Source organism: Homo sapiens, chromosome 12 (assembly GCF_000001405.40).
Source record: "Homo sapiens chromosome 12, GRCh38.p14 Primary Assembly".
Classification (NCBI taxonomy): domain Eukaryota; kingdom Metazoa; phylum Chordata; class Mammalia; order Primates; family Hominidae; genus Homo; species Homo sapiens.
In genome coordinates, this window is record NC_000012.12 from 108311376 (window position 1) to 108331562 (window position 20187).

General features: G+C 49.7%; 1 protein-coding gene across 4 annotated transcripts in view, besides 4 other annotated features; it reads right to left on the bottom strand.

The window, feature by feature from the left end:
- The window catches only part of CMKLR1 (chemerin chemokine-like receptor 1), a 51266-nt gene that overhangs the window by 23330 nt on the left and 7749 nt on the right, over positions 1–20187 (bottom strand). For 2 of the 4 annotated variants that reach the window (NM_004072.3, NM_001142343.2), the window contains exon 2: positions 18620–18832. The exons of 1 other annotated variant lie outside the window; for it this stretch is intronic. The gene's annotated coding sequence lies outside the window, so the exon portion shown is untranslated. Of the gene's footprint in view, positions 1–9169; positions 9268–18619; positions 18833–20187 lie in introns of those variants that run through there. One more of the 4 variants, NM_001142345.2, reaches the window with a different exon arrangement.
- Positions 4757–5051: a silencer, noted in NCBI's record as "tiled region #8395; K562 Repressive non-DNase unmatched - State 23:Low". NCBI's record gives its function as "represses a minimal TATA promoter and a strong SV40 promoter by Sharpr-MPRA in K562 cells {active_cell/tissue: K562}" and the evidence as "EXISTENCE:reporter gene assay evidence [ECO:0000049][PMID:27701403]".
- Positions 5157–5451: a silencer, noted in NCBI's record as "tiled region #632; K562 Repressive non-DNase unmatched - State 13:Ctcf". NCBI's record gives its function as "represses a minimal TATA promoter and a strong SV40 promoter by Sharpr-MPRA in K562 cells {active_cell/tissue: K562}" and the evidence as "EXISTENCE:reporter gene assay evidence [ECO:0000049][PMID:27701403]".
- Positions 5157–5685: a biological region, named in NCBI's record as "Sharpr-MPRA regulatory region 632".
- Positions 5167–5685: an enhancer, noted in NCBI's record as "NANOG-H3K27ac-H3K4me1 hESC enhancer chr12:108710319-108710837 (GRCh37/hg19 assembly coordinates)". NCBI's record gives its function as "activates a minimal SCP1, AML or CMV promoter by ChIP-STARR-seq in primed H9 embryonic stem cells {active_cell/tissue: H9 hESC(primed)}" and the evidence as "EXISTENCE:reporter gene assay evidence [ECO:0000049][PMID:30033119]".

Below are 20187 nucleotides of genomic sequence, written 5' to 3' on the forward strand. Positions count from 1 at the left end.
AGGCTGAGGCGGGAGGGTCACTTATAGCCAGGAGTACAACACCAGCTTGGGCATCATAGAGAGACCCTGCCTCTAGGGGAAAAAATTTTAATTTAAAAATTTAGCCAAGTGTGGTGACACACACCTTTTAGTCCCAGCTACTCAGGAGGCTAAGGTGGGAGGCTCGCTTGAGCCCAGGAAGTCGAGGCTGCAGTGAGCTATGATTGCACCACTGCGCTCCAGCCTGGGTGACAGAGCAAGACTTTGCCTCCTAAAAAGAAAAAAAGTGCCAGGGAAAGGACGCTAAGGGGAAAAGGCAGCATAGAGGGGGAGAGCTGGTGGAGGCAAGAGGCAACAGGAGGAAGGGTGGGCCACTGAGCATGGGCATTAGCCTCCCTTCCCCTTGGACAACCCAAGTGAAGTCAGCGACCCCTGACCCAGGACAGGGCTGCAGGACTCATGGGAAGCCCCAGGCTGGGGGCACGGAAGGACTGCTGGGGGGACCTCAGAGGCCAAGTCCTTCCAAACCAACCTGCTCCCTGTGCTTAAGGAGCCCAGTACCCCGAGCATGGTTCAAAGCACCTGGGCCTCTGCTCTTGCAGGTCCCTCTGCCTGGGGTGTGCTTTCCACAAGCATCCCCTTGCTTCTCCCAGCCTCATGTGCACAAATCCAGGCAGAGCAAACAGCAAGGTGACAAGAGGAAAGAGACCCATCCTGTTACGTGCCAGGCACCTAGCTGTGAGCTTGACACCCCCTCATCTCCTTGTGTCCTGACAATCCATCTTCCCCCTGGCCTGAGGACATTACCTCCATTTCACAGATGTTGAAACTGAGGCTGTAAAAGGAACCAGATCAGGATCGCCAGCCAGTGCCCAGTGGAACCAGGACTTGAACTCAGATCTGTGAGAACTCAAAGCATCTATGCCCTTATCACAGCATTTCCAAGCATCGTGGATGGGCTGACAGGCCCCTTTCATCACAAGACTGTGAAACGTGTCCAGGCAGCATTCCTTCCTCTCCCTAGGACTTCCCTTACAGCCTACCAGCACGGCTTCTCCATGGGGAAGAGCCCTCACCCACTGCCTGTCACAGGGTCCTGGGGTGCAGCTATGGGGTGAGAGGAACCAAAACTGAGAGTCTGGGGCTCATGGAATCCACCCCCTGCTTATTAGGCACAGACGGCATACTCAGTGCCTCCACTCACAACAAACCTTCGAGGTAGATATTTTCATTCCCATTTTTCAGATGTGGAAATCAAGCCATAGAGAAGCAAGGGCACTGGCCCAAGATCTCACAGTAGGAAGGGGCAGAGGAGAGATCTGAATCTGCACTGCCTGACTCTGGAGTCCAGGTCTTCAGTGACGGTCACTGTCCTTTATGTTCTGTGGCTTGCCTGCTGCACACGGGGCCCTGTGATCTCATATCAGTTGTCCCCACCTGTGCAACTTCCGCACCTTGCACATTCACAATGCTACCTCACTGACTTGGGGTACTTAGAGACTCCAAATCACCCCCCTCTGCACAGTCTCCACAGGCTGGCCAGACTCCCAGGGCAGGGAGTCTGTAGAGGCCTGTCCAGCCACATGGAGCTTTGAAAAATCCCAGAGCCCTGAGCTGCCCCAGGGTCCTCCTGCCTAGGCTGCCAGCCACGAGCACAGAGGCCTTGGAGTGCTCAGGCAGGCTCTGGCCCCTTGGAATTCCCTGGCTCCAGCCCAAGCAGCTGACAAATGGACTGGCACCACTGCCAGCAATCAGGACGGTGGAGTATGAGATCCCACCCTGTTCCCAGGCACAGGGAAGGAGGGGCAGGCTGCCCTTCCTTTTGACCCTGTCACCAGGCTGTCACCTCTCCCAAGGCAAAGCCCAAGCCTTGACCTAGGAGGGGTCTTGCTGGAAAAATTGCCCCCCACCCTACCCCACCCCACCTTCCATGGAAAACAAAAAGCTGCTCGAAGACCAGAGGAAATTCTAGAATCCTAAAAGTCATTGCTAGAGAGGCTTTAGGATCAAGGGGTCTCACACCCTCATCTTACAGGAAAAGGGAAGTGGCTCAGTGCAGCTGACAGCTTAAGCCTCACTCAGTTACAGCAAATCCACATGTGAATCCCAGCTTGGCCCTTCCCATGCTATGTAATCTTGGATTACTAAATCACAGACTCCTCGTCTGTAAAGGGGGTCAATGTAAAGATTTCATGAGATCATATACGTAGGGTGCATAGGGTGACCAGTTGTCCTGGTTTGCCAGAAACCAAGGGGTGTCCTGGGATGCAGAATGTAAAGTGCTCAAACTGGAATGTCCCAGCCAATCAGGGCCCGCTGGTCACTCTATGAACATGAAGAGACTGGCTCAAACAAACATGCCCTTTGGCTGTTATGTTTAAAGAGAGCTATGTCTGGAGTCAGCTATCAGTGAGTTTGAAACCCCCACCAGTAGAACTTCTAGAAAGACTTGTCAAGTCATTGGAAAGCTCTTCCTTTTTTTCACTACACTGACCTTGAGCAAACTGCCACATTCGTGTCAGTGTTGGTTTAGGCCCCTGGAGTCACACAGGACAAGCCAGCCACCTCCCTCCCCAGGCAGCAGCCACTTCCTCCCTTTAATCTCCGCCAGCACTTCCTCTGCATCATTCTTAACCCTTTGCCAGCCGACCCCCACCAGGCCAACTGAGCTGCTCTCCTGGGTTGGGGAGGGGTGCCACAATATGGTTTTGCTTGCAGGTTTGTCGATTTTTTATTTTTGTTCACTTAATTATTGGCGTGATGCAGCTGTGGATGGTGGGAGGTTCAAAAGAGGCTCACTTATACAGGGAACATAAATTAAAGTAAAAGAAGGAAGGGAAACATGTGTAGAGACAGAAAATGGAGTCACGGCTAAGGGTGAAATGCAGGGGACACAGAAGTTCCTAGACACTGACAGTGGCTGGACCATACACTGGAACCCCAGCTTCCTGAAAGGGGGACCCAGTTACATGAGTCACATGCTCCTTGCTAAAAACCAAACCCACTCAGGGGAATAGTAAGGCTTCCTGATGCTAGGAGCAGAAGGACTGTCTCCAGAAGCCTGTGGAGAGAAGACATGGGGGATCTGATCACGGAACGGGGTCTCCAGTTCCTGAATGTTTTAAGGGAGGCTCCAAACACTCACTGATGGACAGCACTGCCCCAAACTGCAATTCAGTAAAAGCTGCTTTTCCTAGATATGACTGTGAGTTTCAGTCTACACATCCAGGTGTATGCACTGCTGGTGTAATCCAAAGAATTTTCTAGAATATCTGAGAAGGGGCCTGAACCGTGGCCTTTAAGTCATTCTCCCTGATGTTTTTTCAGAACTGAAGCTTTGGTAGCAGTAGCAGTGATAAGTGGGACACTACTCTTTCTTTTTTCCCCCTCCCTTTTTAAAATTTTATTATTTTAATTTTTGGAGATGAGGTCTTGCTATATTGCCCAAGCTGGTCTTGAATTTCTGGCCTCAAGCTATCCTCCCACTTTGCTTCCCAAAGTGCTGGGCTTACCATCATGTTCCATCATGCCCAGCCCGAGGGACATCATTCTCTATGGCCCAGGCTCGAACACAGCCTTGTTTTTTTTTTTTTTTTTTTTGAGACGGAGTTTTGCTCTTGTTGCCCAGGCTGGAGTGCAATGGCGCAATCTCAGCTCACCGCAATATCCACCTCCCAGGTTCAATCGATTCTCCTGCTTCAGCCTCCCAAGTAGCTGAGATTACAGGCATGCGCCACCACACCTGGCTGATTTTGTATTTTTAGCAGTGATGGGGTTTCTCCATGTTGGTCAGGCTGGTCTCAGGTGATCCACCTGCCTCGGCCTCCCAAAGTGCTGGGATTACAGGTGTGAGCCACTGCACCCAGCCCAAACACAGTCTTTCTCCACACCAGCTGGGGGTGGGCCTGGGGCATCCTTATACTCACCTATCTGTGAACATATTTTATGAAACAGACAATCATGACAAAGACATACTTGATACACAGGTAGAGTGACCCTCCATCCTGGCTTGCCCACAACAATCCCTGTTTATGCTTCTTGTCATGTTCCTTTCATTCTCAAAGTGCCCCAGTCAGGACAATAAATCCTACAGTTTCCCTACTCATAGATTACTCCCTCCTCTGGCCTAGAAGCTCCTGTGTACTAGCCTTGCCCACCTACTTGTGCCAGGCCCTAAGCTAAGCACACGTCCTGTGTCATTAAATTCCCATAAGGGTCCTGTGAGGCAGGTACCACCATGATCCCCATTTGACAGATGAGAAAATGGAGGCTCAGAAAGGCTGTGGCTGCTGTTTCAGGAGGTAGCCATGTGCCAGGAACTTTCCAGGATTTAAACACCAGCTGGTTCTGCACAGATGGCTACTTTCACTACCTCTATTTTCCAGATGCAAAGACTGAGCCTTAGTTCACTGATAAAAGGGTGGCTTACCAAAGCCCCTATGGTTTCAGCCAGGAAAGGACCACAGAATGTCCAAATTTCAGAGTCAGCTTCCTTCAATCCGGGCTCATGAGCTGTGGGTCCCTGGGCAAGTGACATGGCCTCTCTGAGCCTTGATTTATCTCATTGGTAAAATGAAGATGAATCTTGCTGCTTACTGTTGGGTGAGTGAGGAGCAGACGCAGGACCAGCACTTGGACCCTGCGCCTCAGCCCAGCTCTTACAGCTCTAAGAGGAGGGGATGTGTTCCCCCCAGGAAGTTCATAATCCTCAGCAGAAACAGTGCATACTTCATGGAGTCACTGCAAAATGAAAATGCAGCCCCTTATTCAAAAATTACTGAGAATTCAGGACAGCAACTGCCAAGTGTTAAACAAAGCACAGGCCTTCTGAGCCCTGTGTGGCTGCACTGGTCGCCAGCCTGAGATGCTGGCCCTGCCCCTCAGCTCTAGGGAATTTGAGGGAAGAGCCCTCTTCACTTCAGGCCCCAGCAGGGCAGGGGCTCGGCGGGATAGGTGATCTTAGGAGGGAGGAAGAAGCAGCACAGCCAAGAAAGAGCAGAGAGAACAGAGGATGACACCTCCTCAACGTAGACAGAAAGAGAGGGGGAAGAGGGGCAGGGAGAGGAAAGCCAGCAGGAAGAGGAGAGACGCACAGGGACTGGAAAAAGGAGGACAGAGCGGTCAGGGCAAAGCAGCAAAGTGGCAGAAGAAAGACGAAGGCAGGGTGAAGAAAGTCCCCAGGAAGAGAGACCCAGAGGCAAGAAGAAAGGGACAAGGCTAAAAGGAGTCTTCTGCCAACCTCTGAGAAGGTTTAACAAGACCCCATGGAGCCACCCGGTGTGGGCAGGGAGGGGCCCCATGAATAGCTGTCCTCCTGGGGTGAGGGCCATTTGCTATTGCATTTGCATACATTTAAAAGCACAGGAAAGGCAGTGCTGGGGATTTCCAAAATCCCCAAAGATCAGGGAGCTACGGGCAAGGTGTCAACCCCATAGCAGAAATGGGTGGGGCTTTTGCTTTGGGATGGAAAGCCACAGGCACCGGTTGGAACCGCCAGTGGGAGCTCAATCACAGCTCACTGCAGCCTCAACCTCCCTGGGCTCAAGTGATCCTCCCACTTCAGCCTCCTGAGTAGCTAGGACTACTACAGGCATACACCACCACACCCCACTAATTTTTTTTGTATTTTGTAGAGATGGGGTTTCGCCATGTTGGCCAAGCTGGTCTCCAACTCCTGGACTCAAGTGATCCACCCACCTCAGCCTTCCAAAGGGCTGGGAATACAGGCATGAGCCACTGTACCCAGCCTCAATGTCATTGGTTGATTTTAACAGGAAAAGGTGTGATTTAACACACAGCCTGTTTGGTGGTGGGCTGGAGGCAGTGTTTGGGAAGGTCCTGGCAGACACAAGATGAGCTGAAAGCCATCCCAAGCAGTTCTCTTCATTGAGCATGGGTTTCAGTCATTATGTGCTCTAGAGGTTCTCTTCATCCATGGTTATTAGTGTCAAGGAGAGCCCACAAGAACGCATTGTTTTCCCTACAAACATTTCACCAAGAGCTTGGAATGAAATGGCAGGTCCACTATGAGACATAGGTATTGACTACCCATGGCCTCAGGAGGCCACCAGGAGTGCATCACGGTCATGAGGATGATGTGGACACTGGAGGGAGGGGTGGGCTCTGTGTAAACCCCACAGGACTCTCTCAGCTGGTTCAAAGTGGGCCAAAGGTGGCCTCATTCTGACATCAAGGAAAGCCGTAGTCAGCTGGGCAATAAATCCAGCTAGTTTGAAAACTCCAAATGTGCTTATGTCACAATCAAGGAGAAAATAGGAATGAAAACCACGGGCCTTAGAATTTACAACACACATACTATTCACATAATAACACTGTTAGCCTAACAGCCATCCATCCACAATTCTAATAGGCTTTTTGAATTTAAATTGCTGACCAGGCATCACAACTCCTTCTAACTGGTGATGTTCAAACCATCTAAAACTATAGAAAGATTAGAATGAAAAATCTTGCTCCTACCTGCCACCATCCATCCAGTTTCCACTGTACCCACCTCCCTATGTTAGTTCCTCATGTCTCCTTCCAGAGTTTCTTTGGAGAAATACATTCTCTTTTCATTTCATTTCTCTCATTTTGCATAAACGGAAGTATACTAAACACATTATTTTGCAACTGGCCTTTCTTGCCTAACAATATCTCTTGGTGATGATTTCTTATTAGTATATTCATATGTACAAAGCATCTTATCCTTTTTGATAGCTGCATAGTATTCCATTGGTAGATTTGCCAGCATTTAATTAACTAGTCCCAGGGATGGGCACTTGAGTTGCTTCCGGTTTCTTGCTGTTACAATGTTATAATAAATCATTGTGTGTGTTACAATGTTACAATTAACTACATATGTGTATCATTTTCCACATATTCTTAATAGAGTCTGGAGTTCTCAAGCCCTGGTCTTTTATAATGAGCAAATGGGCTTTAAGCACTCCCTTTGCACTGACTGTGCTGTGTTTTGATCCATCAAGAATATCCTTCAGAGCCACTTAGACCTTCAGTCCCCATAGAACCTGGGCCATGTCTTTAGTACAAAGTCTGTCTCATGGGAAGTCAGAGAACCTTGGTTCTTATTCTAGCTGTACTGGCTGTTCCAACTCCCTGTCCTCAGTTTCCACGTTTATCAAAGGGAAATGACAATTGTTTGCAGGGTCACTGTGGGGATCAGCTATCAGGAGAGAATTCTGTGGATATATGACAGTATCCACAGTGTGAGGGAGATTTCTGCCTGAGGCCTCCTCGTCACCCCAGAGGGCAGATCTGTTCTCTGTGGGTTCCCAGAGAAGATGCCAGTCAGGCTGGAGGAGGGAGTCTCTGCAGAAAACAGAGCAGCCACCTGCCAATGGCAGGTTTCCAGTGTGGTCCCTGATCCCATAGCAGCCAGAGCCCAAGCCCACAAGGAGCCATGTTCTGGAGGTGCCTTTGGTGGCCCCAAGCAGCCCTGAGAACTGCCAAGTTGAAGCTGCTTTTTATTCTGTTTTAAAATAAAATAGTGATCACATTCCCAAGGTGTGGAGACACCCCTCCCCTCCACGAATTAGTCTCAGCTTTCCCAGCCACTCAGGAAAGGATCCAAAGGAATTTTCCACCCATGCCTTATGCAGAGCAAATCCTGGTGGACAACAGGGTGCCTGCCTCACTTCCAGGCAAGAGTCCTCATCTCCCTCTTTGTAGCACTCACATCTTCCCAACTTGCCTCCCCTAGGGCCCCAAGGTGCTGACAAGGAGCCTTTGTCTCCCTCTTCCTGGCCTCCATGCCCTTTGCCAAGAACCCTGGCCATGACGTCTCTGCTGATGCAGGTTTCCAAGGCTCATTTTGTAACCATGAGCAGAGATCTTTGAAACCGCTGCCTCGCTGAGCCATGAGAACCATCCCTGTCAACCCTCAGGGTCCTTTCCATCCCTTACTTTGCCCCAGCCTCCCAACAACATTGAGGACCACCCCTACCTCACAGGTGAGTAAACTGAAAGTCAGAGAGGTCAAGCAACTTGCCCAAGATCACACAGCTAGAAAATGGAGGAGCTAGGACTTCAACCCAAAAGCCATGTTCAATGTGTGATGGTTAAGGGTACAGGTTCTGAAGCCAGACCACCTGAGTTCAGAGCCAGCTCTGTCACTTACTACCTGTAAGACCTCTTTGTTGCTTAAATTCTTTCCTCAGTTTCCCAATCTGTAAAATGGAGCAATACATGCCTCACAAAGTACATACCTCATAAATAATATATACCTTATAAAGTTAGTATTAGGATATAAGAGAAGGAATATAAACAGCTAGAATAATAATACCTGGCCCATGGTATGTTCTCAGTATATTATCCATTGTTATTATTGTTGTTGTTGTTGTTGAGTATAATTATGAATCTTACCATTATATGACTTGGCCTCACACATAAATGTGGCATGATTGTAAGGGAGTATGGTTTAAAAACAAAACAAAACAAAAACCTCCTCTCAGAATTTCTTTCACACTGAGGTATAAATATCTGATGACATATTACACATTTCTCATTCTTACATTCAATAAACCTTACTGAGCACATATTACCTGCCAGGTGTCAGGCTGGGAGATAGAATACAAAGATATAGTTCCCACTCCCAAGAAACCCAAAGCCAGGTAAGAGCAACAGACGATGAGTAAATCATGACAGAGTAAGCCCAGGGCTGGGGGACCTGTCGGCATAGTATCCATTCCAGCTGCCAAGTCAGGGAAGGCTGCCTGGACACAGTGAAATTTGAAGGACAAGCAGGAGTTGGCCAGTGGGCACCCCAGGCTGAAGTAACTGCAGAGGCACAAAAGCATTGCACTTTCACATGATACAGCTGGAGAAGAAGGTTGTGAACTGAGTTGGGATTTAAAGCTGTGATGGTGGAAACTCAGGCACTGTGTGGAGTAGAGGTAGAGTTTCAGCCAGAACATATGGACCCCAGTGTCTCTAAAATCCCAAAGGGGTGGCATGACTAGGGGACGAAGCCCTGAGCTTCCCTCCCCAAGCCCTGGGAGGTATGCGCCAGGTAAGGGGTGCTTTCTCCTGAGTGCCAGCAGAAATCCCAACCCACTCCAGGGATCCGGGACTCAGAATTAACATCCCAGCCCTCAGACTGTGAATACCTCTCCCCCACATTTAGAAAGAGCCAAAAGTGCCAGTCCACCTCCTAAGCCCTTCATATAGCATATACCTGATTACCCAAAAGCAAAGATTTCTCCTTCCTTCCCTCCTTCTTCCATCTTCCCCTCAGCCTCTTCCTCCTCCATGTCTCCTTCCGTGGGCAGAATCACAGACACCTGTTCCACTTTGGCCTTCCTCTCCCCAGCTCCCACCCTCCAGGAAACTGAGCCAGCAGCTTAGGACCAACCAGGTCCTCAGGTCACACCCACATCCACACTGGCTCCACCCACCCTCCTGCTCATTCATTCGTTCTACAAGAGGAATAGAAACTGGACCCCAGAAACTCCAGCACAGCCATATTCAAAGAAACACAGTCCAGCAGCCAAAAGTGCTTGTAAACCTGTGAAATTTTTACTGCCACTTCTCAAAGAACAACAGGATGGTATTGTGGTGGATGTTTTTGGTGCCTAGTCTGGGTCCTCTTCACTAGCAGGGTCCCCCATCTGCCAGCTGCAGGGAATATTAGATGCTAACAGCTCACAGCTGCCCTCTCCTCCTAAGAATTGCCCTCAGCAGAGCAGGAGCAGCCTCTCCCTGGCTGCCGCAGAGCACAATGCTCACTCCAGGGGTCCCCGTGGGATCAGACTGAAGCTAGTCTCACCTGAGGCCATATCCTCAATAACCCCTTCCCTGATTCCCATTCTCCTGAGAGCACAGCTTGGACTGGAGGAGGCAAGTGAGGCACTTGCCTTGAGTGCAAACTTAGGGAGGAGGGTTGCCAAAAACCTCACTCATACAAAAAATAATAATGTAATGCAACATTTTTTCAAAATCAAATTTACAGCTATGCAGGAGGCTAAGGCGGGCAGATCAATTGAGCCCAGAAGGTCAAGGCTGCAGTGAGCTACGATCATACCACTGTACTCCAGCCTGGGTGACAGAGTGAGACCCTGTCTCCAAAAAAATAATAATAAATAAATAATAAAAATTAACGCAAAATATTGCATGATGAGCAAAACATCAAAATAAAGATGGGATCCCATCCTGCACTTTCACGCGTCTGCGTCACTCACCACCCCCTAACTCTGACTCTGCTGGAGAGCACACCCTAACACAGAACGTGCACCCAAATCCCTGTCTCAGGCTCTGCTTCAGGGAAACCCAATCTGAGACAGGGATCCAGATCAGAACCCACTGCAGGGGTTCTTAGAATGTACTTTGACTCATTCCTCTCCTCTGTATTCCCAGATCTAAGACACCCTGATGCCCTTCCCTAGCTCCTCCCCACACAGCCCCCTTCCAGCCAAGGCTCTCTCTCTGCTCACTGCCCTGACTGAACTAGGAATTGAGCACATATGGTGATACAGTTTGAATATCTGTCCCCTCCAAATCTCATGTTGAAATCTGATCTCCAGTGTTGGAGGTAGGGCCTAAGGGCAGTGTCTGGGTCATAGGGGTGGATCCCTCCTGACTGTCTTGGTGCTGTCCTCCAAGTAATGGGTGAGTTGTCTATTAGTTCCCACAAGAATTGATTGTTTAAAAGGAAGAGGTTGAGGGGAAGGTAGAAGAAGGGAGGGGAGAAAGGATAAATCTTTGCTTTTGGGTAATCAGGTATATGTTACATGAGGGGCTTGGGAGGTGGGCTGGCACTTTTGGCTCTTTCTAAATGTGGAGGGAGAAGTGGTAACAGTCTGAGGGCTAGGATGTTAATTCTGAGTCCCGGATCCCTGGAACGGGTTGGAACTCCTGCTGGAGCTCAGGAGAAAGCACCCCTTACCTGGTGCATACCTCCCAGGGCTTGGGGAGGGAAGCTCAGGGCTTCGTCCCCTAGTCATGCCACCCCTTTGGGATTTTAGGGAGACACTGGGGTCCATATGTTCCGGCTGAAACTCTACCTCTGCTCCACACAGTGCCTGAGTTTCCACCATCACAGCTTTAAATCCCAACTCAGTTCACAACTTTCTTCTCCAGCTGTATCGTGTGAAAGTGCAATGCTTTTGTGCCTCTGCAGTTACTTCAGCCTGGGGTGCCCACTGGCCAACTCCTGCTTGTCCTTCAAATTTCACTGTGTCCAGGCAGCCTTCCCTGACTTGGCAGCTGGAGTTGATACTATGCCAACAGGTTCCCCTAGCCCTGGGCTTACTCTGTTAGTTCCCACAAGAACTGATTGTTTAAAAGAGCCTGGCACCTTCCTTCCCTCTCTCCCTCCTCTCCTCATGTGATGCTGGCTCCCCTTCCCCTTCTACCATGAATGGATGCTCCCTGAAGCCATCACCAGAAGCAGATGCTGATTCCATGCTGTTTGTGCAGCCTGCAGAACCATGAGCAAAATAAACCTCTTTTCTTAGTAAATTACTCAACCTTGGGTATTCTTTTATAGCAACACAAAATGGACTAAGACACATGGTAATCATTTCATCCAATTGCCACAGCTGGGCACCTACTATGTGCCAGGTGCATTCTCCCCCTGCAATCCAGCCTTGGATCTGGCAGCAGATACCTTTCCCTCCATACCTCATTCTCTCAGATTCCCCCTTCAGCCAGACAGTGCCCACCTGAATCCCCCACTGAGCTCAAAGAAGCCCAAGAGACCAGCTTAGTTCAGTCAACTTCACGCCTTGGGATTTCATGAACTGGTTACATTTCCCACAAATTTTTGAGACTGTCATAGAGTTGCCACCTTTCTACATTTGCCAAGTAAGGACACTGCAAAACTAAAACCATCCTTTACCATCACCACCACTTCAGAAAAGAAACAACACATTAATACCCACGAAAATAGGTGAGACATAGACTCATCTTTTTCAGTTGAAAATGTTTCACTTTATGAAATGCTTACCTTGCTATCTGTGATTTTCCCTTTTTTATTTTATTTATTTATTTATTTATTTATTTTTGTGGCTTATCTGCAGACTGGTAAAAATGTGGACACAGGCTCCGGTGGGCTGGGGTTGTCAACCCTTCTGTTTGACATTGGGGGAAACTAAGACCCAAAGGACAGCTTGCCTTCTCCATTCAAACCCTAGCCCTCAAATGTTTCCCTGAGGGAACCTGAGGAATGAACAAGGTGCAGTGGAGACAGGAAGGCTGGGTTTTAGTCCTGACTCTGCTCCAAATGTTCCATGAACCTGCACAAGTTTCTGCCCCTCTCTGAACCACAAGGCTGCAAATCTTCAGATGACACTGAGCTGGAAGTTGCCATCTGGTCCAATGTGTAGGACTTGGGGTGCAGTCCCTGCCTGAGCTCACAAACAAGCTTGGCTGGAGAAACAGGACTGGATGCCAGTCCTCTTTCTCTGATATCCAATCTAGCGCCTCAGTTTCCTCTTCTGGAAATGAGTTCTTTGATCATTGCCAACTCCAGACTGCCACACAGACAGTGGCACAGGGGCCAAGGGAAGGGAACTGGCAACAGCTAAGCCACCTGGAGGAATAGGCTGGCCCCACAGCCAAGGACCTCTGATAAGAGGCACAGAGGACTACTTCCAGCTCCAGAGAGACCAGGGGTCTACAGTCCAGCCCTGGCAGGTCCCCTCCCTGTCAGAGACCCAGCCCAGGCCAGAGGTCTAGGGCTCCAGCAGGGAGACCCCAGAGTTTACATCTCTGGGCAAAACCAGGCATTTACCTGTCCCCAGTGGAAAGGTACTTGGGGTCCCTGGTGACGACTGGGTTCTTGCCGGTCTCTTTTTTCTGGGAGCTGCATGTGATCACGCTTGTTGTAGAACAAGCACATCTCAGCTGTCCAGGAAATGTGGCCTGGCTGCCCAGACACAGATGTAGGGGGGCAGATAGGAACAGGGCTCACCAAAGGGGCATCTTTTCAAGTGTTGTAGTGAAGGCTGCCTGGATTCAAGCCCTGGCTCTGCCGCTTACCAGCTGTGTGACCTTGGGCAAGTCGCTTAACCTCCCCGTGCCCCTATTCCCTCCAATATACAATGGAGAGGTGAGGGGAAGAGGATCCTATCATGTGGGAGCACTCCCCTCAGACCTGAAAATCCATGAGTTCTCTACCCCAAGTTTCTCCAAGCAAGCCACGCAGACGGGAAGCCAGAGCACAGACGAGGCGCCTCTCCCTGGAGCCGACCCAAAGACTTCCAAGGGGCTCCACTTTCATCTTTAAATGCATGGGCCTATTATGGCACTGAATGCAAAGTTCCCAAGCTATTTTTTTAAAGCATGTGCCCTCAAAATAATTGTATGCAGTTTAAAAATAAAACACATGGTCTTGAAATAATTTTAGTGAGGGTTTGGTTTTCCCTAAGGGAAAGAGATCCTATTCCCTGAGGGCTGAGGGTGCACCCTTCTGCTGTTGGGCTCACTTGTTCATTTCCTTGCAAGTGTTTACTGAGCACCCACAATGTGGTGGGTGGCCTGAGCATGCTTCCTCCCACAGCCTCCAGTCTGACCACAGCCAGGTCCCAGAGGGAAGAAACCAGCAAGAACCCTGTCAATACCCAGGGCCTTGAGAACACTCCCACCGGGAATAAGTGCTTGGTTTTGCCCAAAGTTGCTGCACTCAACCTCTGGAAGACCACAGCTGGTTCAGAGCACTTGCTACAGAAGAAAGAGGGCAAGAGGAAAAGGAGGAGGGAGAAGGAGACGGAGCAGCCGAGACAGGGCAGCAGAGCCAGGGCTGTGGAAGGTGCACTGGGAGGACAGGGATCAGGCAGCCTGGAGTTGTCCCCAGCATTTCCAGAGGGCTTCCAGACACCACACCCCTCGGGGAGCCAGAAGACACCCAGACAAGCCTCATGAGTCGTTCTGGAAACTTGTCCTGGGGGCCTGCCTTGGACTGTGGCTTCTTTCATTTCACCCCTGTCCACTCTCAATCACCTGAGAGCATGAAGATCAGAGCCACAGAGCTTCTTACTAAATCCACATCGTGGCTGGGGATATGGGTTGCTGGTAACAAAATAGCTCAGGCTGTACACTCACTAAGCGCAGCCCTGTGTAGACTCCTGGCAGGTGCAAGGCAACTTGCACCCCTACTGTTATCAGCCCAATTCCAACTTCCCCAATGGGTAAATAGCTGGCTGTGGCAAATACCAAAAATATTTAAATAGCTGGCTGTTGCAAATACCAAAAGCAAGAAAAGAAATAAAACATACCCTCCCACAGATCCATCTCCCCCTGCCCCACCCAGATAACCCTATGAGGCAACATCATCCTTACACCCATTTTACAGATGAGGAAACTGAGGCAATCAAGCAAGGAAGTCAAGGAATTTGAAGCCAAGCCACCGAATTCCAGAAGCTTTGACCGTCTTGCCATCCTGCCTCTCTAAACACACCTGGATAAAATGCACTTCTACCCACACCAGCGCAGCCACCAACACCACATCCTCTCCCAGTTCTCACTTCCACTCCCTGAACAAGGAGGGGAGGAAAATGAGTTGAAAGACAGTTTTACCAGTTCTGCAGAAAGTGCAAGGACCCCAGGCTCCTCATCCAGGGCACAGGACATGTTGGGGTAACCACTCCTACCCCCAGGCTCTGTCAGAAATGCTGGCGGGTGGGTGGGCAGTGTAGACATGAGTGCACCAAGATTGGGACACTCACCTCCGTGACCTCCCAGGCCTGCCCTATTTCTCTGAACTCTGCTAACATGCAGCTTTGTCATTTTTTTTAAGATAACCCAATTTTGGCCATTCTGTCTACAAGAAAAGGGAGGAAGAGAGAGGCCCCAACGGAGGTGCAAATAAGTTGGAACTACAAACTTCTCCTATGAAATTGACTCAGTAGTTTTCTTTCCTCAGGTCCTTGCAGCAGAGGAGGCTGTGGCTTGCTTGTCTCTAAGAAGATCCCCAACCAAAAGCCTCCCCTTCCCTGTGTTTATGTCCACAGCACCTGAATGTCCCCCACCCTGAGCACTCTCTGCTGGCTTAAGGCATCCTGCTCCCAAAACTTCCACTCCAGCAAGCTATCATCAGTTGCAAACACCTCAGTGTGAGTGAGTTTATTGCTTTGGTTTCCAACTGGCCATCTGGATGAGAACAGGCTTCTGAGGCAATGGGCCATGACACTGATGAGTCAAGCCATGGAAGATGAAGAGACAGTCCCATCATAAAGGCCATAATCAGTATAGAAAGGGTCTGCAGCACGTGAAAGGCAGAAAGGCCTGGAAATCACAGGGGAGGATTCATGGACTCTGGAGAAGGGGACTGGGAGAACAGGGTCAGCCTGGGCGATGTGGCCTTGGGCACTCAGCTGATGTCTTTGAGCCTCAGTCTCTGGGCCTCATCACACACAGGGGAAAGCTGGCTGCTAAGGGGCTGGGGGCTAGAGCGGAGGAGGTGATTGCAGAATTCAATCGCATTTCAGAAAGCATTTCCCAAGGGCCTCGCATGCACCCTGCCTTATTTTAAGTGCAAGGAAATCTTCAGCATGCTTCTTTTACAAGGGATCTACTAAGCACTGGTCCCACTGCTATGTGCTTTTTCATGGATTCGCTGATTTAATCCTCACCACACAACTCATGGCAGATCCTGTCATCAACTCTAATTTATAAGTGAAAAAACTGAGGCTGAGAGAGAGAGAGAGAGAGAAACTGATCCAGGATCACCCAGCTGGTAATCAAGGGACTCAGGATTTGAACTCAGGTCTAACTCCAAACATGGAACTGTAACACGATAGAACCCACCAAAGAGCAAAGAGCTACAGCTGCTAGAGGGTGGCTGCCTTTCAAAGACAGAGAGGGGGGTTGGCTAAGAAAGATGTCCTGAGGCCAGGCACGGTGGCTCATGCCTATAACTCCTTCACTTTTGGAGGCCAAGGCAGGAGGATCACTTGAAGCCAGGAGTTTGAGACCAGCCTGGGCAACATGGTGAGACCCTGTCTCTATGAAACATTTTAAAAATTAGCTGGGCATGGTGGCACATGCCTGTAGTCCTAGCTAACTTGGGAGGCTGAAGCGGGAGGATGGCTTGAGCCCAGGAGTTCAAGGCTACAGTGAGCCATGATTGCGCCACTGCACTCCAGCCTGGGCAACAGAGTGAGACCCTGTCTCTTAAAAGAGAGAAAGAGATGTTGTGAATTAGAGAATGAAGGAGTGAGTGAACACACATCATCTCTCTGGGCCTCCATTTCCCTGGCTATAAAATAGGACTGTTTTTCCCACTGCCCACACATCTGATGAGTGTCTGTGAAGCCAGCAGGTAGGTACTTGGCTTATAAGCAGCCTGTTGTGATCAGCCAAGAGGTAGGACTGGTCCCAGAGGACAATCTTGGAGGCGGGAAGCAGGACTGGGCAGCAGCCCAGCCTGAACTCCATGGGTGAAGGCTACCTGTCCCTTCAGGCGGTGGAACCAACGCAAAAGGCTCTTGGAAGGAAGAACGAGGAGGTGCAGTGGGCTTCCTGGGCCCCGGGAAAATGTGAAACACTGGACGGGGTGGGACGGGGCTGAGAAAGTGTGGATCAGAGGCCAGCCTTCCAGGACATGGAGGATGTCCGGGGTCCCAGCCTGACAATCTCCTCCCGGGAGACCTGTCAGAAACCCTGTGATGGGGAAGGGAGGGTATCTCCCCACCAGCTGGCCTCACAGGCTGCTCACAGCAGTTCTCTCCCCTCCCCAGAGTCGTGTTTATGATTTCCTGATTTCCTTCACATCTGAGGCTTTTCATGGGGTGAGAGGGAAAAACAGTAAAAGAAAGGCCTGTTTAGGCCAGACAGGGCCAGCTTCCCCCGGGAGAAGTGAGGCCAGCAAGTCAAGGTCTCCACCCAGTCCCTACCATGTCTTTTGGCCAAGGCAGGAAGTCGAAAGGGAAAAGCCTGGAACGAAACTATGACTTTGGCATTGCCTACAACCGGCATTTCTTAGCCTCTCATGGTTCAAGAATGCTGATCTCCCGCATCCCTTCCCCACCAGGCAAGCCCCCTGACACCAAGGCCACGCTTTATTTTTTAGCCCCAACTCCGGGCCACACGTGATCTCGTTTAAGCCCCACAACACTTCAGTGAGGAAAGCCCTTTTATGATCCTCTTCGTAAAGTTGAGGAAACTGAGGCTCAGAGCAGTTAAGCAACTCTTCTGAGGCCTCCCAGCCAGCACGTGGCTGAAATGGGTTTCAAAAGAGGTCTGGAGAAAGCGGAGCAGCTGCCTCTATCCACCCGGTGGCCATCCCTTCTGACTCAAGGGAAGCCCTTTTTCTTCATGACCTAAATCCCTGACAGCTGAAGAGGCCCCCTGTGAGTTGAGTCTGTCATAAAAAAGACTGAAAATTGCCTGCACTCCCTGAAGACCTGTTCTTGACGTCAGTCAGCCGTACCTCCCCATAGCTAGGAGGCCGGGGGGCCCTTTAATGCCCAGCCTGGGTTAGTCTGGCTGCTGCAACTGGTGGCCAAGTCTGCCTCTCTCCAGTAAAGACATCACCAAATGGCCTTGGGCAACCCAAAGTGCCATCTTATATCAGCTCTCCTTTAGGATTAAACCAAAAGGAAACACCTCATTTCCTCTCAGCCTCTATGCCTACGTCCATCAGCAAGTCCTGGGAGTGGTGGGAGGGGGACCCACCATTCAATCAAGAAAGCCCCCAGTGGAGAGAAAGATTCTCTTCTCCAAGCTGGTTTATGGGCCAGACACCCCATGAGATAAAGCCACAAACCAGCATGCCCACTGGAATTTCAAACTTAATTAGCTTCGGGTTGTCTGGAATCTTCCATTGTCCAAATGTTCAAATTTAATCAACTGAGTTTGGAGAGGGCAAGGGTTGGAGGCAGCAGGATGCTGTTCCCATGAAATAAAGCACATTGGACCACCTGGAAAATTGGGTGGGGCCTTCAAGGCCCTGAGGAGCATTCCGACCTCCTCCTGCCATCCCTGCTTCCTGCCCACCACGCCAGACTCCCTGCACTCATCAAGTCTCTGGATCTGTGTTCATGCAGCTCTCCCTGCCTAAAATCTCTCTCATGTCTAGCCAACTGCTCCTATAAGCAACTGAAGGCCAATTCACCCTTTGAACCCAGCTCGAATATATGCTTCCTTCTCGAAGCACTATTTCCTGGCTTCCCCAGTGAAAGCTACCTCCACTTCACTCCTGCAGTACTTTGCACACTAAATGTATCAAGCAGGCATAAGTGGGAGGGTATTTAACAATAAGCACTTGGTAAAAATGGCCCAGTAGTCACTTACTGTTCTGAATGGATGATGAATGGAATCATCATGGGTGACTGTGACCTGTGAGCAAAATTTGCCCCAAGCAACCAACATTAAAGCCAACCTTCTGGCTAGATGGGCCTCCACTCTGTCTGTTTACTCACCTGTCTCCCACTCAACAGGAGCTCCCTGTATCCCATGCTCCTAGCACACAGTTAGTGCTCAGTAAATGCTTGTGAAGTGAACAGAGGCTCCTTTAAACAAATCCTTTTTGAGTTTCAGTTTTCCCATCTGAAAAATGGGAGTGTAGTCTAACTTAGGGTGACAAATGATTATCTCAGATGGCCACTGTCATTCGTTGTTTTAAGATGAAGATGGTAGATTGTCTTTAAAGATAGACTCTAACATCCCACCCTGCCCCAATACTCACATGTCACGCCTCCCATCAAGAAGTGGACTCTATTTCTCCTCCCCTTGAATCTGCACTGGCATGGTGAGTTGCTGTGACCAACAGAAAGTGGTAGAAGTGATGCTGTGCTAGTCCCAGCCTAGATCTCTAGATGCCATCAGCTTCTGCTATCATTGTTGCAGAGCCCTGAGCCTCCTGGTAGAAAAATCCAAGCAGTTCTGCTGGAGAGATGGGCTACAGAGAGAGAGAAAGAGAGAAACAGAGCACACAAGTTCCAGGATGTGAGATCATCTTATATATCCCAGCCCCAGTCAAGCTCCCAGCTGAATGCAGCCCATGAGTAACGCAGCCAACACTATGTGGAGCAGAGATGCACTGTCCCTGCAGAACTCTGCTAAGTTGCATAATTATAAATGAATAAGTCAGTTCAAGCCACTAAATTTGGGGGTGTTTGATCCACAAAGATAAATGACAAAGACATCTGGGTTCAACTAGAGGAAAAGTCATGACTGATGTGTGATGTCTGCCACAGCACATGGTGAGGGGTGTGGACTTCCATCCCTGGACTAGATCATGTCAAGGTCAGTGCCAATTCAATTCAATGCCAATTCGTGATTCTTCTGGGACCTTCTAGAAATGCAAGTTCCAGATTCAGAGGGAATCCATCCACCATCAGAGAGAACCCCAGCAGGGATCCAGTGGGGACCCTGGAAGGATTACATGAACCAATGAGGTAGCCCCTCTTGGGGCATATAAACAGTGACTTGGAAATAAAGTAGAGCAGTTGGTAGCAGGACTGGGAGCAGAAGGAGGTAGACATAGGAGACACTGAGCCCCATTGATAGTAGAACAGCTGAATGGGGGCTGCAGGCTCCTGCAGCCTAGGGGACAAAGATAATCCAGCCCTCAAGCCAACACATATCCCAAGAGCCTTCCAGGTCAAACACAAGGCTGGCTGGGCAGCTGGCACCTTCTCCCCTCCTAGTTAGCATCCACATCCTCAAAAATGAACCTCCTCTCTTACAGGGGGGAAGAGAAGGAGCCCTTGTGCTCCTTGCAGCCCATGAGCCAGACAAGCATGTCTCCCTAGCATGGGGCAGAGACAGAAAGGTTCTCATAACTAGAAATCACCAGTACCTGGGATGGAGAGACTCAAGCTGGGAAGTTAAACTCCTGGGGGATCATTCATTCCTGTTGAGCCTCCTACCAGGTGCCAGACACTTAACTCTTACTATCTCCTTCCATCCTAACTACTACCCTATGTACAACATGCCGCCATCCCCATTTCACAGATGGGAGAACCCCCTCGTTCAGAGTCAGCAGGTTCATAAGTGCAGGGACGTGAACGCAGTCTAAATGATGCCAAAGTCTGGTTCCTGGTTCGGTCCTGATAATCACTGAATACTCCCTGGTAAAGCCTCACTGGTTGCTACACTTGCATCCATTCTAATTGGTCAATACTCTGCTGAACCAACTGTCAATAGATGGCCACCTGAACTCCCAATATCTAAATTCGAAATTCAAGAAACAATCAGATGCAGACCAATGTCACTGTTAGACAGAATAACAGATCCCCAAAGATGTCCACA